Below are 18,026 nucleotides of genomic sequence, written 5' to 3' on the forward strand. Positions count from 1 at the left end.
TAGTCCTCTTTACTACATACTAAAGCTTAGAACTGGGGCCCTGTTCTAGCTTCTTTTATTCCTCTATTTAGGAAAGCATCTCCTTACAATCCTTTCTCTCCAAACTCTGCTGGGTAATTGAATAGCTACATGACTGAAAATGTTTCAATAGCCTTTCAAGGTAGTATTTACATTTTAATGAGCTTTTGTAATGGTTTAACCTAAATACAAGGGAATATGATGAGCTCTTTGGTATGGGGAATAATTTGAGGCCCAAAGTTATTCCCAGGCAGCCCTGTAAACTTATAAAAGTAGGGTTGCTTCCTCTCCATGCTTGTTATAAAGCTTCTACGTGCATCCAAGGCTTCACGTAAATATTCTCTTTCTCTTTTTCCCCTTTCTCCCACTGCAGATAAAAAATTTCAAATGGACATAAATTGATATCTAGTTCTCCTCTGAAAATTGTGAACACATTATTTTAAATCTTCTCTGTACTATTCTCCAACCCCTTTGATTTTTTAGTTGCCTTCAAAATTTTAAGAATAATTTATATGTTTTGCTTATCACAAATTCTCATACACCTGAGCCAAACAGTTTTGTTAAGTTTGGGGGAAATCACGACTTTTGTGTTTCTGATCAGGAAACAGAGAAGGACGTGACTTGGCTAAACTCTGCAGAACATCGGTTAATACTGGGGTTTCTGACACCCAAAGCAGTTCAAATTGTCGACGTCATTCTATCACGTAAAAGCAATTCATGTGCTATTTTCCTTCTATGGATTTACTCATGCATATGCAAATATGAGACAAGAAAACCAGACAAAATGTACTGCATGTGGTAATGTGACTCAGCTCCTCAATAGCCCAGCCCTCCCCAGGCTCCTTGCCAAAATAAACTGAGTGTTGACAGGGAGCTTGATGTGTTTTAATAGCAAAAAGCCAAAAATGAAGATAGTTTACAAGTGATAAATGAGAGATTCATTTTTAAATGGAATTCTCTGCTTGAATAATGCAATGTATATGTGACATTAGTAAAGTTCTGGGAAAAATGATAGAAGACCTATATGTCACAATTTGCCAGGCATAGTTACCTAATCCTGGTGACTAAGAAAAAAGGACAATAGATTCCCCTGAGAACTTTTTAATTGACCCTTAAATGTCATTCCAAGTGCTTTAATAATAAAGAATTGAAAGTCTTTGACATTTGTTGATTTTTTATCTTGTAGTTTTCTCTTGATTTACTTTCTATTTTTACTGAAAAGTTACTGCTGGATTCTAGTGCTTTCAGAAAATACCTTTTTTATCTCATCATATCATCTATGTGAGCCTAAATTTCTTATGGTTTGCCTCACTCTTCTCAAGCCAAAACCTACTAATTATACCTACTAATCACAAAACAATTTCTTCCCCAATCAGACAAATGGATGTTTTTGTTTATTCTTTGCTTCTTGATTGTTTTGAACAGTAATCCTATATTAATTTTGATAAATCCACACACTGATGTTAAAATGATCATAAAAGTAGCATGTGATGAGTTTATCTGGGCTTATAGGTTAGAAGTTGGATAGGGGTGTCCATTGTGAGCATTGCAACTATATGAGAAGCATTCAAATCTAAAGTTAACACTTCTGAATAAATTTTATTTTTTAGCGTGCAGTTTTTCCTAGAAGACTGAAAAATCCAGAGACTTTTTTTTCTTTACATCTAGAATGTCCTGCTTGCACATATTTTTTAAAACCTACATCATGTATTGTTGACTTCCTTGCCAAAGGCACACATGCATTTCTATTTCATTTTTTGATAATTCTGATATTGTACCTAGTTCTCTTGAGCCATGGTACCTCTATTTCATTTCTGAATCAAACTCTATGCTTCTTTATAACTTCCAACTTTTGACATGTTTTCACTGGCAATTTGGTCATTAGCATATTTTTGAGATCGAACTTTATATCACTATTTCAGGTGAATATGTAAAGCATAGAAAACCAGATAAAATGTTGGGTTTCTTTAAATGAATTTCGTCTCTATAGAATAAAATTTAGCATTCGGTCCTTTTTTCCACATATCATCACACATTTACTTTTATACATTTACCTTAGATTAAATGTGTTTGCCTCACACCACTTGAGAGAGTGATTAAAGTGCATGCTTGGGCCACCTTTTTCTCCTCAGAATTCCCAAGAACTAGTTTTCTTAATTTAAATAATTACCATAAGTACAAAACCTTCATATTGAAAATCGGTATAGATATTACAACTTGAATTATACAATAAAATAAATATGAGCAAGCTTCTCTTTCCACAATGAACGTTCGTTATAGAAAGAGCATCAAATGCAGCTCCTGGGTTATGGTGAATTTATAGAAGACAAAATTTCACCATCACCCAATTATTCTGAGATAACTACTACTGGAATTCCAGTGTTCAACTGGACTTTTAATGCATTTATTTATACGTAATCAATGTTATGGCAGCTGCGCAGATATAGACTAATCTCTTCTTGCCGGCCGTTTCACCTTACTCAGTTTCCATTACCTGTGGTCAACCATGGTCCAGAAAATATTAAAAGAAACATTCCAGAAATAAACAAATTTATCCATTTTAAAATGTGTGCCATTCTGAGTAGCATGGTGAAATATCATGCCATCCTGCTCTGTCCTGCCTCACATTTGGGCCATCCAATTGTCTAGCATAGCCACACTGTAGACACTACCCACCCATTAGTCACTGATGTGGCTGCTTCTGACATCCAGCCATCAGCATCATCACTGTGAGTCTTGGTCTGGGAACCTACACTCATCCTCCTGTATACTTTAAGCTATCTCTAGATTATATGTAATACCTAATACAATGCATATGCTATGTAACTAAGTGCTCTAATGTATTTTTATTTGTATTATTTATAATTGTAAATTTTTAAATTAAAAAACATTTTGGATTATTTTCAATCTGGGGTCAGCTGAATCCAAGGATGCAGAACCTGTGGATATTGAGGGTCCACTGTATATACTTATAATTCTTCTAATTTACTATTAGCTGTCGTTAATCTTTTACTGTGCCTAATTATAGTAAAACTTTATCATACGTATATAGGTATAGAAAAAATACTATATATCGGATTCCATACTATTTTTATTTATTTATTTATTTTTATTTCATTTATTTATTTTTTCTGTGACAGAGTCTCACTCTGTCACCCAGGCTGGAGTGCAGTGGCACGATCTCGGCTCACTGCAATCTCTGCCTCCCGGGTTCCAGCGATTCTCCTGCCTCAGCCTCCTTAGTAGCTGGGATTACAGGCGTGCGCCAACACATTCGGCTAATTTTTGTATTTTTAGTAGAGACAGGGTTTCACCATGTTGGTCAGGCTGGTCTCAAAATCCTGACCTCGTGACCCACCCGCCTCGGCCTCCTAAAGTGCCGGGATTATAGGCGTGAGCCACCGCGCCCGGCCAGGGTTGCTTACTATTTGTGGTTTCAGGCATCCACTGTGGGTCTGGGAAGGTATGCCCTCAGTGAGTTGGGGGGCTACTGTATTCCAAGTCCCTTTCTTAGATATGCTGTTTCCCATCCCGCCCTCTGTCCTGAGAGGCATCAAGGTCTCTCTGGGTCTGGATTTTGTCTGTCAGGGAGAGAGATAGCCAGGGAGATGAGAAGGAGATAAGAGAGTGAGATCAGGGTTTCTTTCTCTGGCTCCCTCCCTCCAAGATCACCTCAAGCTGTCTGTGTCCCTTGGCCACAGTTCTCAGTTCCCCGCCAGGCACACTTCCCTCAGCAACTCTCTTCTGGGTTGTGGGAACTGCCCCTTGTCTGTCCCTGCCACCCAAGGCACGGTAAGAATTTTCCTTTGGAACTTCTTGGGGTTTTCGGAACATTCCACCTACACCTTTATCAGTGGTTCCTCTGTTTTGTTTGTTTGTTTGTTTGAGGCAGAGGCTCGCTCTGTCGCCCAGGCTGGAGTGCAGTGGCGCGATCGTGGCTCACTGCAAGCTCCGACTCCCGGGTTCACGCCATTCTCCTGCCTCAGCCTCCCGAGTAGCTGGAACTGCAAGCGCCCGCCACCACGCCCAGCTAATTTTTTTTTTTTTTTTTTTTTTGTATTTTTAGTAGAGACGTGGTTTCACTGCGTTAGCCAGGATGGTCTCGATCTCCTGACCTCGTGATCAATGGTTCCTTTCTTTAACTGTCTGGGAATTGTCCTAATAAGAAGGAGGTGCCATCCATTCCTAGTTGGAACTTTGACTCGTACTGCAGTTTATACGTGGTTTTATTGCCTGCTTCTGATTTTGCTCTACAATGTGTCTTGAACATCCTTGCTTGTTGTTCGGTATCATTTTTATCACATTCTAACAGCTTCAGGCTACACGTGTACCACAGTTGAACATTCATCTTGTTTTCTAGTTTTCCCTCTTAGTGATAATGTCATAAGGAGAACCTCTGTACATATGTACAACCTCTATTAGTCCCTTCAGATAAGTTCCCAGAGGTGAACTAATGGAAGTATTTCCAAGTGGTATTTTATTATTCATGCTGCAGATTTATTATCAAAGAAACACTCTACCATTCTTTAGCTGTGCTATCTCCGTGTTCCCTCAAGCAGTTCTGCAGTCACTTTGAAAGTCCTACTGCTTGAAAATGTGAGACACTGGATCTCCAGGCTCAAGGATTTCCTCCATTTATGTTCCAGGCTTTGTTTACGTGTTTGGATTGCCTACTTCTGATTTTGCTCTGCAATATGTCTTGAACATCCTTGCATGTTGCTCAGTATGAATTTAACACATTCTAGCAGCTTCACGCTACACAGGATCCATCATAAGATCATCAACCTACTTTTCTTTCTTTTTTAATTTTTTTTTTTTTAAGATGGAGTTTTGCTTTGTCACCCAGGCTGGAGTGCAGTGGCATGATCTCAGTTCACTGCAACCTCCTCCTCCTGAGTTCAAGAGATTCTCCAGCCTCAGCCTCCCGAGTAGCTGGGATTACAGGCACGCACCACCACCACCATGCCCGGCAATTTTTTTTTTTTTTTTTCAGACAGAGGCTCAGTCTGTTGCCCAGGCTGGAGTGCAGTGGCGTGATCTTGGCTCACTGCAACTGCCACTTCCCAGGTTCAAGTGATTCTCCTGCCTCAGCCTCCCAGTAGCTGGGATTATAGGCATGCACCACCACACCTGGCTAATTCTTTTATTTTTAGTAGAAATGGGGTTTTGCTATGTTGGCCAGGCTGGTCTTGAACTCCTGACCTCAAGGGATCTGCCAGCCTCGGCCTCCCAAAGTTCTGGGATTACAGGCATGAGCCACTGTGCCTGTCTAATTTTCGTATTTTTAGTAGAGATGGGGTTTCACCATGCTGGCCAGGCTGGTCTCTAACTCCTGACCTCAAGTGATCTGCCAGCCTCGGCCTCCCAAAGTGCAACCTACTTTTCTTAATTAGCAACAGGAGTTCCTTATGCCTGGAGACCAGGCCATGTTTACCTGAGCCATAGAAGCCTTGTTACTAGAGGGCTGTTCTGTGCTGTGTAGGGCCATCTGCCTAAACGCCTTCAGCTTGCATCTGGCTATAATTCACTCATCCTTTACACCAGTTCTTCCCCATTCAGAACACAAAAGTTGTTATCATTTGTCCCCTTCCCCTTCTTTTGTCCCATGGAGTTAAGACCTAAGGTTGGCTTCTCAGCCTTTGAGCTCAGAACTTTCTACCTGTTGGGACTTATTCACCTCCTCGCTTGTTCCTTGTCTGCCCATCTCTGTATCTCCACAGTGATCTCAAGCTTAGCAGGGCAAGACTCACAATAGCCTCTTTAGAGGAGATCAGACAGAAAAAAAAATCTGCTTACACCAGTATGGTTGAAACAGAGGGTTTCTAAAGGAGCAGCAGAGGACCTAGGAGACTTGAACATATCCAAGAGCATTTGGGGACAAAACTATGAACCACATTCCAGTATTTAAAGGATTAAGGAGGAAACAGTGTCCTCTAGCAACTTCACATTTACTTAAGAGTTGAAGATTCCCTTAGATTTTTTTTCACCCACTGGCAAGAACATAAGTCTGACTATTGTGGTTATTGTTCAAACCATGTAGACGCCCGTCTTCCACTCTCAAAGAACTGCAGTTGAAATAAATGGCAAATAATGCAAAAAAGTCAGGCTTTTCCCTCCTTTTTTGTTAAATGGAATTATAAATTTCATACAACTCAAATATTCCATTTGTAACTATAGTAATGACCTAGGTGATATAGAAATTGTCACCTGAGTTATCAGCATGTTCCTACATCTTGGCTAAAAGCCCAGAAAGAATAGATTTACAGAACGAAAATCTGGAGTGTTTTATATATATTATAAATACTGCTCTCACTGAGGAAAATGTGTGTTTGGAGGCAGCAACTCTTACAAGGAAAATGTAAAATTTTCATATACATCATTTAGTTGAAAATGTTCTCCTGTCATTTCTACCTCTGCTTAGCCCAAAGAAAATTAATCATCGTTCCTGGAATACAAACAAACAAACAAAAATGTAAATACTTCTCTTCTTTTGTGACTTTCACTGTTTTATGTGTGTTTCTCAAACCTGATTTTCCCAGAAATTGGACACCCTCAAACCTATTTTCAGGGGTTCATGAGTTTCCCATGAGATTTTTATGATTAAGTGTGCATCTCTGTGTTTTGATTCTTCATTAATCTTTAAATATGTTGATATATGAATGCTAATGGGATCCTGATTAACCACCTTATAATACTGTGTACCATGCAATTTCAAATTGTACTGCTATAGTTTGTAAGAAACCATGAGGGGGCGGGGAGAGAGAGAGTGAGAGAAAGATAAATCAGTTAAATAAAGTGTTAACGTTAAGTTAAAGCCATCTGAAGCCAAGAAAGCTGGAATCACCTGTTTCACTGTCGTTAGAATGCAGAAAATTGTTGGGAGAATTAAGTCATTACTTGACAAATAATACAAAGTGGAATTTATAAAAGTTTCCACTTTAAAATTTAGTAATATTGCAAGTGGCCGTTTAGTCTCCTCTAAACAACATTATCAGTGATAATATATTATGCCTCTTTTATTTATTTTTCAGACAGGAAAGTTACATGTTTTTAACATATATATTTTAATTGAAACATAATAATTGTACATATTTATGGGCTACAGTGTGATATTTTGATACATGTAAACAATATGTAATCAAGGTAATTAGCATATCGGTTATCTCAAAACTTTATCATTGCTTTGTGTTGGTAACATTCAAAATCGTCTCTTCTAGCTATTTGAAAAATTACAATAAATTATTGTTTACGATAATCACTCTATAGCTCTATAGGACACTAGAACTTACCCCTCCTGCCTAGCTGTAATTTTGTTTCTTTTAACCAACTTCTTTCTATCTCCCCTTCCACTTACCCTTTCCCCCCTCTGGTAATCACTATTCTACTATCTACTTCTAGGAGATCAACTTTTCTAAGGTCCACATATGAGTCAGGACATATAGTGTTTATCTTTCTGTACCTGACTTACTTCACTTAACATAATGTACCCCAGGCTCATCCATGTTGCTGTGAGTGACACGATTTGCTGCTTTTTTATGTAAAAAACTTGAAACGGTTACTTTAAGTTGTACTGGTTTTACAGATTTTTAAAGTTTGAGGGTACTTTTTCAGTTTTATAAGGGCTAATTTGCTGTTTATAAGCAGATAAACAATATTAAGTGCACTTTAATAAAAATTAAGTGTGATAACATTTTTGTGGTATTTTGTATATTCTTTACTAAATTTTGAGAAACACTTAATATTGGTTATTCTCTCACTATCCAGGATCAGACATATTTATTTTTGAATTATATCTTTTCCCCAACACTATTTCTTCCATGTGTTCAGTTAGCCATTAAGTGTGACGGTTAAATTACAGATGTATTCTTCAAAAGTAGCTCAGGGATGTCTGCAGAAAATGTGGCTATGGTACATACAAATACAGTGGTCTCTTGGTATCCTTGAGGAATTGGCTCTAGGAACCCGCACAGATATGAGAATCAAGTCCCTTGTAAAAAAAAAAAAAAGACTATTTGCACATAACCTATGCACATTCTTCCATATACTTTAAATCATTTCTAGATTACTTGCAATGTTACCAGGAAGTGCACAAATCTTGGTTCTTGTCTAACTTGGGAGAAAGAATTCAGCCAAGAGACAATTTAGCCAAAGAGGAGAATTTATCGAAGGAAAATAGCAGAGAGTTGATTTAGAGAGACAGGACACTCTGAAAGACGAGGCAGAGTGGGCTGCTGAAAGAGAATGAGCCAGTAGCAGCCCTGAGAGATCGGCATTCGGTTTTTACAACGTCGGATTTTTCTTGAAGTTTCCACCCCTGTCTTAAGTCTCCATCTTTTTTCTTTGTCTAGTTTTCTCGCTGCTGCCTTGTCTCCACCTCTCTCCAGCTAGTTCCCATCCCAGGTTTGTGGGATTCCCCCTTACTGTCAGCTGATGCACCTGCATAGGCCCGGATACGAATTCTACCTAGTGGTGGTGTTGCTCATTACTGCCACCCCAGGAAAGCCTCATAGCAGTTAAATCTGCACTTACTGTGCCTTTGTATATCTTAGGAGTTTCTCCTTTGACCTCTTCCCCTCCTTATCAGCATTTAGGTAGCTACATTCTGACAAGTTAACTGCAGAGTGAGCAATTACTGGGCGTCTTAAGGGGTGTTTCTTTCTGCAGATATTTCCCCTCTTGTCTGGTCATCCATAGCATGCAGGTTTCTGGTTTCTGGTGTCAGGTTTTCCAGACTTGCCTTTTTTCATGCCCCCCATGTCCCACTCATGTCTAACTGTCTGCCTACTGTAACCATAATACCTAATACATTGTCAGTGCTATATAAACAGTTGTTATACAGCCTTTTATTATTTTTATTGTTGTGTTATTTTTATTGTTGTTTTTATTTTTTAATATTTGCAATCTGGGGTTGGTTGAATCTGAGGATGCAGAACCCATGGACACTGAGGGATGGTTGAATTTCTTGATATAACATAAATCTCGGCCGGGCGCGGTGGCTCATGCCTGTAATCCCAGCACTTCGGGAGTGTGAGGCGGGTGGATCACGAGCTCAGGAGATTGAGACCATCCTGGCTAACAAGGTGAAACCCTGTCTCTACTAAATACACAAAAAATTAGCCAAGTGTGGTGGCATGCACCTGTAGTCCCAGCTACTCAGGAGGCTGAGACAGGACAATTACTTGAACCCGGGAGGCAGAGGTTGCAGTGAGCCAAGATTGTGCCACTGCGCTCCAGCCTGGGTGACAGAGCCAGACTCTATCTCAAAAATAAACAAATAAATAAATAAACAAATTAATCTTAACTACAGTGTCTAGAAAACCAGAAGATACTACACAGAGACCATAAGGAACGAAATGAACAAGTATGAGGCTTCACTGTGGGTCATGAAGGAATTGGCAAGATGATTCAATATCTAAGCAAGCTGACCCTATGAAGATGTGAAGAGCTCTTCTACTGATTGCTGAAAGATCTGTTTGAGTTACTAGGTTCCTCTTGGCCTCTGGTTCTACTAGAGGGAAACATCTGCAAGGTTCACATATTCTTTCTTATTAATAAGTGTGGCACATAATTCTTCAGTTATCATTTTTTACCTTAATGCAATATGTCTAATCATTTTGCCTTCATTCTGCCAATCTATTCCATACTATCATTCTTGCCATTGCTAAAGTAACACTTCCAAACATTTTTTTCACTTGCTCAACAACTTCCAATATTTTTATGTCCAGAGTTCTTACCATGGCATTCAGTGCGTCTCCTCCCTTAGCCTGCCTTTGCAAACTTACCTCCTAATCTGTTGCATGACCCTCTCTTCCAGTAAGCATGCTGTACTCACTGATGCTAAAATGTAGCTTGCTCATTTCAAACTGTCGTCCATGAATCTTACTGTGCAGTCTCTAAATCTATCTCCCACTTCTGAACCCCTATTTTAGATGGTGCGTGAATACTAATTTTTCATTGAACTACATTTTCTGATATCTGAAGATGTTTCCTATATTCCTCTGGTTAGATAACAATCTTCCTTGGGGTGGAGTTTTATTTTATGTAGCCTCTAGTGTGGTGCTAATCCTATCATAGCACTCAACATTTGCTGACTTACTCTAGTTTGGATTTTACCTTTAGTTTATATTAAAACTATAAACTGTTAAACTATGTTGCTTTATTCCATGTGACAACACAACAATTGATGCTATATAATAACAAAATAAATAAATAAAGTAACCACAACAAAACGTTTCGGCCAGAAGTAAGGAAACTAGATTCTAATCCCAGTACTGGGTCCAAACAACCTGCATATTATTAGAATATGGGTGTTCCTAATATGAAAGCAGCTCATTTCAGGATCTGAGAACTACTAAACTCCACATCTAATTTATCTAATGCTCAGCATTACCCTAAGTATAAACCACACAAATGTGGAAAAGATACTTTGCAAAACTAAAAATACCTGATTATAATATAGTATAATTAATACAACTAACTGAGTAATTCTTCGAAACAGGGAATTTATTTATTTGTAGATATAAATCAAGATAACTTCATGCATATTATAACAATTATATATTGCAATCCTGACATAATCTATTTTTCTTGTTATCCAAAGGGAAAACTTAGCTCCTTAAAATTTATTCAGATCTCACCTCTGTGTATTATTTGAGAAGGTAGGAAATGTCGGACAGATTGAGATCTGTGGTACAGTCACTGAGTCAGTACAGAATATTGTCTTTGATGGTGGTACAAAGGAAAATTTTATAGGAGAGTATGGTTGCTCATGTGGACGTCAACCTTCAAAACTCAGAAAAGTTTGTTCCTCTTCCAAAGCCATTGGGATCTCAGCGGCAGACTGACACTTTCCTGGTGTTGAAGAACAGCAAAGGAAGATTGTGTAATATCATATATGTTCTCAATATGCCCTATTTCAGTCTGCAGTTGTGGCCCCTCTCATAAAACAAACACCTGTGGAAGCTGAAACTACGGAAGTTTTACTGCCAAATGGTCGTTCAACTAAACAAGAACAACTTTGTTCAGAGAACGGGATAGAACAAAAATGAAGTTCCTATGCAATCAGTTCAGAAGCTTTTAGAGAATGACACTTTGAAATAACTTTCTCAAATACAAAATTTCCAGAAAGGTTTTAGTAAATAATTTTATAATAGCATTTTAAACAGATCATTTATGCAGATGTAAATGTACATTCAAGGGGATATTGGCCTTTATAATTAGATTTAGGCCCAGAAACACTACAGCCTCGTCAACATTCTTACAGTTCAACCATAGACTAATTAATAGATATTTATTTGTTTTGACACGTTGGGGACTTTTTCAGTTCATTTAGGCAACAAAATGCACATTCTTAATTTCTTTCTCTCTTTTTCAGGAGAAACCAAAGATAATAAAAGTGCTATTTCGTTAGCCTCTACTCTTTATAATGCCACCTCTATAAACAACATCCTTATTAGTAAAATATGATACAAGTGCCCTTAGGGTAAAATCAATGAATATTTATTTAGGAACTGGCTTTTGGCCAATTTTTCTGTACCCTAAAGGCATAAATATTATATACCAGGGAAGTTCAATTCCCATGTACTTATGATTTTTTTCTCTGCACATTTGTAAAAGGCAGAAGTATCTGCATGACACTTTCTAAAACTCACTTGTCAAAAGGTTCACCTGTGGTTGGGAGCTAAAATCGGCATTTCTGGTTCATCATAAAATGTTAAATAAGTATAAATTCTGGTTAACTATCTTAAGTTAAATAGCTAAAACACACAGGAGAGAGTTCTCATTATCTTAGTCTTCTAAATTTTGAGCCAGTGGCTTTAAGAAATAGTAGGGGGAAAGTGGTTAAAACGAAAACATGTATCCCTGAAGTCAGTCTTTGAGACAGAGTGTTGAAAGCTGGCAAGCAATTTTTTCAGAACATTCTCTGTGTTGTCATTATGTTTTCTTGTGGAGAATGTGTTTTCCACACCTCTCAGCAGAATCACTGTAATTCAATGAACAGGTAAGTTGAATTATGGATGTTGAAGCCACATCTTGCTAAAGGGAACCACAGTCCTAACAACTCCTTGAACAAAATGCTAGGGCTGCTCAATAGAATAGAATTCCCATGTTACCCATTTTTTTATGACTCTCCACTGTACTGGGATGTAGGCAGGAATCACGTCTCTAGATCACTTGAAAGTAATGAGGGACAGCTTGAGAAATATTAAATTTTTATCACTTTCAATTCTCTGCTACTACTTTTAACAATTAATTTGTATTTGTGTGTAATACTGATTCCTCTTTATGCCCTTAATGTTTTTATTAAAACATAATGTGCTCATAAACACAGAGACTAAATCTTTTTGCTTTTACTAATTTAATTTTTAACAAATGTTGTGCATAAATAGGAACTTCTTAAACCCTCGTGATTGTTATTAAACTTGTCAGCATTAATTGAATGTACTCTTTCTTCCTTTGAACTTGAAAACACATTCAAACTGTCTTTCATGAGGCTTAACGCAGTCTGCTTGGTATTACAGTTATTTGGGAATAGCCTTTCCTACAGTATAACACCAACTATCTAAGTTCTGCACCAACTACCTGGCTCGTTTTTGTCAAATACACAGTCAGTACTGATTGAATGATAAGTAATTGTTGCCAAACAGAATTCACTACCAACCTAAACCATGGACTTACACATTCTGTAATACCTCCTTAAACTAACTCTAGCTCTGCAGCATAGATAAACATTCCTAGAAAAGCTGGATATGGAGATGTGAATAAAGCATGTGCAGTAAATACCAATGTTGGGAAAAAAATTCTGTGTTTCAGAAAATCAAACTACCTGTAGCTACTTGGGGAATGATGAAGAAATAGAGAAGTCTTTGTGGGGTTTCAGGAGCCATTTGATTCAAGTAAGTCGGTGAGTAGCCTGCCCGACCGGAGGAAGCCAGACTGACCCATAATGACTCCAACCATCCAACAAGTGTGGATTGACCGCCTACTGTGTTCAGTGTGACATGGAGGGGAGATGAATTTTTAAGATGAGAGAGGAGGCCGGGCGCGGTGGCTCACGCCTGTAATCCCAGCACTTTGGGAGGCCGAGGCGGGCGGATCATGAGGTCAGGAGATTGAGACCATCCCGGCTAACACGGTGAAACCCCGTCTCTACTAAAAATACAAAAAAATTAGCCGGGCGTGGTGGCGGGCGCCTGTAGTCCCAGCTAGTCGGGAGGCTGAGGCAGGAGAATGGCGTGAACCCGGGAGGCGGAGCTTGCAGTGAGCCGAGATCGCACCGCTGCACTCCAGCCTGGGCGACAGAGCAAAACTCTGTCTCAGAAAAAAAAATAAAAAATAAAATAAAAAAAATAAGAGAGGAAACTCATAACCCTTCAGGGATGTAAAATTGACAGAGAATGGCAAGATAAAAGAAAACCCAACATTATTGAAAAGTGTGGTGCTTAAAGTCACTGCTGAGAGATTTGAATGATAGAATCCCAGGAAGCCAGAGGCTTGTGGGCAATATATGAAATGAGATAATGGATATGAAAATGCGTTGTAAACTGCAAGGTGCTATAAAAATGTGAGATATAATCATTATGCGGCTCACTAGAAAGAAGTTACAATTTTCTGGCTAGCCCTTTTGAAATGATGTATGAGTTAGCCGTAGGAGATAGAGGGTATAGATCCAACCACCAGTTGGATAATGGCCGGTTAAACTGATCTGAGATACCAAAAGGAGCAGGAATCAGAGGTTGTTAGTAAGAATTTACATTTTCTTCTTATTAGGACTTCAAGAGTTCCTACTGTACACATTGGTGAACAACAGGAGTTCATATGTAGGTCATAATACTAATGACTTATTTACAAAGAATATTCCCACAGTCATTGTTATAAATGGGAGAAAGAATTTTCAGCCTATCCACAAGGCAGGTTAACACTGTCATATAAATCATAGTATCTGTATGTGTATCAATTGTAGTCGCCAAGCTTTCTTGGAACTCTATTAGTAAAATGTTTTAAGAATACATGTTCCATATATTATAAATCCTTTGCAGGTATTGTATCCTAATATATTGTGTGCATTATAACACATTTGTAAAAATAGAAAGTCAAAAAGATAGGACTGAAAAATAAATAAACACAGATTAAAGTTCTACCTTTTTTTTTTAAAACTGTACTCCAGGGATTATCTTCTGCACCCAAAGTTTTGTTTACACTTCACTTTGACGACTTGATTCACAATGCACCATAGCACAAAACCATCATTTGTCACAATAAGGATATTTCCATTAGAAAACCTATATTCATTTCTTGCTGAGGATGCCCAAAATATATTTCTTTCTGCAGCATTCCTGACAAGCACTCTCCTCCAGACATTCCTACAGCTTGGTGAGCATATGGAAACTACTCCAACTTTTAGTCAATTTTGTGGTTACAGGCAAGCCCTCCAGCAAGATGGGGCTTGGGGGCAAAAAAAAAAAAATGAAGAGTAAGAAGTTAATGAAATGCTTAAGTCATAGCAGGAGACTTAAAAATTTCACTTGTTTTCATTTGCTTGTCCTTCATCTTGTATGACACCCTTAGTCTGTGTATGTAAACACCATACGTAGGCAACTTACCAATATATTATGGATTTACATCACTAAAGAATGGCATTTGCACAATACAGTATTTAACTTATTCTTATTTAGATTTTGCATGGTAGAAACTTAGGTCCTTAATTTTTTATTACCCCTCTTTATGAAAGAAGCTTATCAAAACTCTCTTACTATACATTTAGTGCAATTTACACTACTTCCCAGTATTTTGTATGGTTGATACTGCACTTTGACTTCTAAATCATAGCTCCTAGAGTATACCTCACTTGTATGTATAATTATAATACATCAATGTTTTTGATATACTAGTGATTCAAAGCATGTGTTTAAGTGGCATATTTCTCACTGATTATACACACCCATTCTATTCAAATAGTGTAAGACACAGAGCGTTGTTTGTTAGTGTAATTTAAAAATTAGAACTTTATTCAGAAGTTGGAGACATCGGAGTAGGTAATACCCAGGAACTGACAACTAATTAGACCTCTTCATGTCGAACTGGAAGCTAGAGTAAGTGTCAAAAATAGGTACTATGAGAGTTTGCAAACAATGCCTGGGAGAGACAGGTATATATATTTAGTCTAAGATCCCATAAACTGGGCATATTGACAGCCAATATGGGGGAACCCTCTATTCCAAGCTACTAGTATCAGGGTCAGGAAACAGAATGTGTCCATTTCTTTATGGGTCAAGTTAGATTCCTGAGGTTAACTGGGGCAGTGAGACAGAATACCCTGGCACATCCTTGCTATGGTTGAGAAGAAAAGATCAAGCCACCTTCACCAAACTTTTCTAGGGTCATTCCTATATTGTAGGTAATGACCATTCCTAATCTTTAAATTATTAGTAGGGTTAAAGCTGCTCCAGATTAGAAATTCCCATGCTTTTTGAGAGTAACCAATTCCCAATAAGCTTGCAGGGTTCTCTACCAGAACTGAGACCTCCTGCAGTCCAGAAAGAGGAGGTGTGGACATATAGCAGGGATGCTTGTTCAGGGCCTGCACCCTCCCTTCTCAGGGCATTTCGTTGCTCTCAAATTGGACCCATGCCATGTGTTTTTTTTTATCACCTGTTTTTAACTTTTTGTTTGTTTGTTTGTTTAGTACTTTATGACTACGTAAAAATGAAAATACACAAATACACTAAGAGCCTCCTAATGGACGGTTCAAGAATTGCATCAGGAAATTGCCTCACCAGGTTCCTGGGCTATCTTGCTCCATAAAGCAAAGACCACAATAGTCCCATCTTGGACTCCACATTGTTATAACTTCTGACACAGTCCCTTCAATGCATACTCTACTTGGGAAAAAAAAGAACTATATTATTGCTCCTGTTTCTTTGAGCATCCTTCTGCTTGAAGTTTAAATGTAGCTCAGAAAACTATCATTTTCAGACCTTACCTCTATCCATCTCATGACTTTACTGCTAGATCCAAATGAATCAATAGTAACCATCAAACTATCCCATGCATCAAACAAGTAACCCTAGGAATCACAAAATATAGCGGGAATAAATGACAGGCAATGCATGTTTTATAGCCCATCATTTAATGCCTTAACTACAGTATGCACTCATTTAAAGGTATTACTTTGCTCTAGCAAACAATAAAAGCAACTGAGTATTTATTTGATTGTTGCCAAATGCAGTGATCCCTTCAGAATGATTTAAGGAGACACAATTGCAGCCCGTCACTGACAGGGCTTGTTTTTTACACACCAGAGAGAAGTGGTCAGTATCGTTGCAGAGAAGCATCATTACACATGACTGACTAGCTGGGAAAATAAAAACAAATGGGGAGGGAGTGACCAAACAATCATGCAAGGGTAAGTGGCAGATTTGGAGTCTATCACGTTTGCTTTGGGGAGCTAAGGGGGAGCTCTACTCCAAGAATTCGTAAATAAAGAAAAGATTTCCCTGTCACTTACTTAATAATTATTGCTGGTGTTATTTATTGCTATTTACAAGAAACATCAATGCAAAAAATGCTGAGCAGAGGTTTTGTCTGCATAAATCATAGCCACATTGTCTCTAAACCATGTCCTAAACAAACACTTGAATAATATCTTTTTGTGTGTCGAGAAGATAGGATGTTTTGGTCAGGATTAGAGATCTGGGGCAGAGTTTTAGCGTTCTCAGCAACGAAGGCTGCCATACCTGGCTGTGGCTGAGGGGAGTAGTGCGTTTGTTATCCCCCCACCCCCTAGATTAGACAGGTTTATTCGCTGAGTCATTATTGTCTCCATTTATTTCAATAAACACACACTGAACCCATTCTAGGTGCCAAGTATATTTGTAAGCCGCAATTTCCTGCCCTCAGAAAGTTCATATGCAGTTGTCTCCACAGCCTTCAGGCTCCTATTTGCACCGTGAGAAACCTTGTCCAGCCTGGAAGGGTCACAGTGCCTGCTACCATTCCCCCATCATCTTCTCTCTCTTTGTACAAAGTCGTCTCCGAGACTGAACATTGAATATGCCTGCTAACAAAGTCTAAATCATAGAAACAATGAATAATTATCAATTTACAGAATATTGATTTGGGCTTTGGTAGCACTTGAGTTGGAGAAAAGATTATCTGTCTTTAGATTTTTTTTTTTTTTACTTACAGAAAAAAAATGCATGTCAAGTACTATAAACTACTGTGAGCTCTGTAAGCAAAAATACAAGATTAAGTTAATACAAGAATGCCCTATGTTATTTGGCCAGCATAATTAATTTAATTATTTTCTAATAACACTGATATGTTACCAAAGTAAAGTAAAGAGATTAAACCCACTTGTTCTCCTGCTGGCACCTTAAATGCATCTCTATGGTGACAGATCTCTGATGGTGGCACCAGGAGATAAAGCCAATTAAGATAAATAATGAGAGATCATTGCGCACAGATCACTCTGAGCATAAACTTTTTAAGAATTTATTGGTATCATTGGGTTGCAAATAAGTCACTTGAAAGTATTTGCTAAAAATCTGAAACTCGGAATGGTTTGAAACATAAGCCTATTAGATTTATTTAAAGCCTCAAGATTCTACTGTAAATAGCACCCTATTCAAACCTACGTTTTAGAAATATTGTGACTTTGACAAGAAGTTTTTTGTCCTTAGTCATATACTTTTTTAATGACATCTAAATTGTCATAAAATTATCTTCTAAAATGGCCAGGATTTTTCCTAGATTATAAAACTATTTTAAAAATTTCTTACGTCATTATTGAATTATTATATACGTATAGGTTTATTTATTTCTGTTTAAATATTTTATTATACACTCACTTGTTCCTTAAAAATATACCTTTTCTTTATTTCTACTAATGATGTGTCAAGCTATATTAGAAATTTTGGGGAAATTTTTTATATTTCATTTTGCTTTCAAGGCTCACCTATTTTTTTTATTTTATTATTATTATACTTTCAGTTTTAGGGTACATGTGC

The 18,026-nt window shown here is 37.9% G+C and overlaps 1 long non-coding RNA gene across 3 annotated transcripts in view; it reads left to right on the forward strand.

The window, feature by feature from the left end:
* Positions 1-14,167, forward strand: part of LOC105377567 (uncharacterized) — a 158,458-nt gene extending 144,291 nt beyond the window's left edge. For all 3 annotated transcript variants that reach the window (XR_007058395.1, XR_007058394.1, XR_001741469.2), the window contains one exon: positions 12,832-14,167. This is a non-coding gene — a long non-coding RNA (uncharacterized LOC105377567). The remainder of the gene's footprint in view (positions 1-12,831) is intronic.
* Positions 14,168-18,026: the final 3,859 nt, after the last annotated feature.

This window comes from Homo sapiens, chromosome 4 (assembly GCF_000001405.40).
Source record: "Homo sapiens chromosome 4, GRCh38.p14 Primary Assembly".
In the NCBI taxonomy this organism is placed as follows: domain Eukaryota; kingdom Metazoa; phylum Chordata; class Mammalia; order Primates; family Hominidae; genus Homo; species Homo sapiens.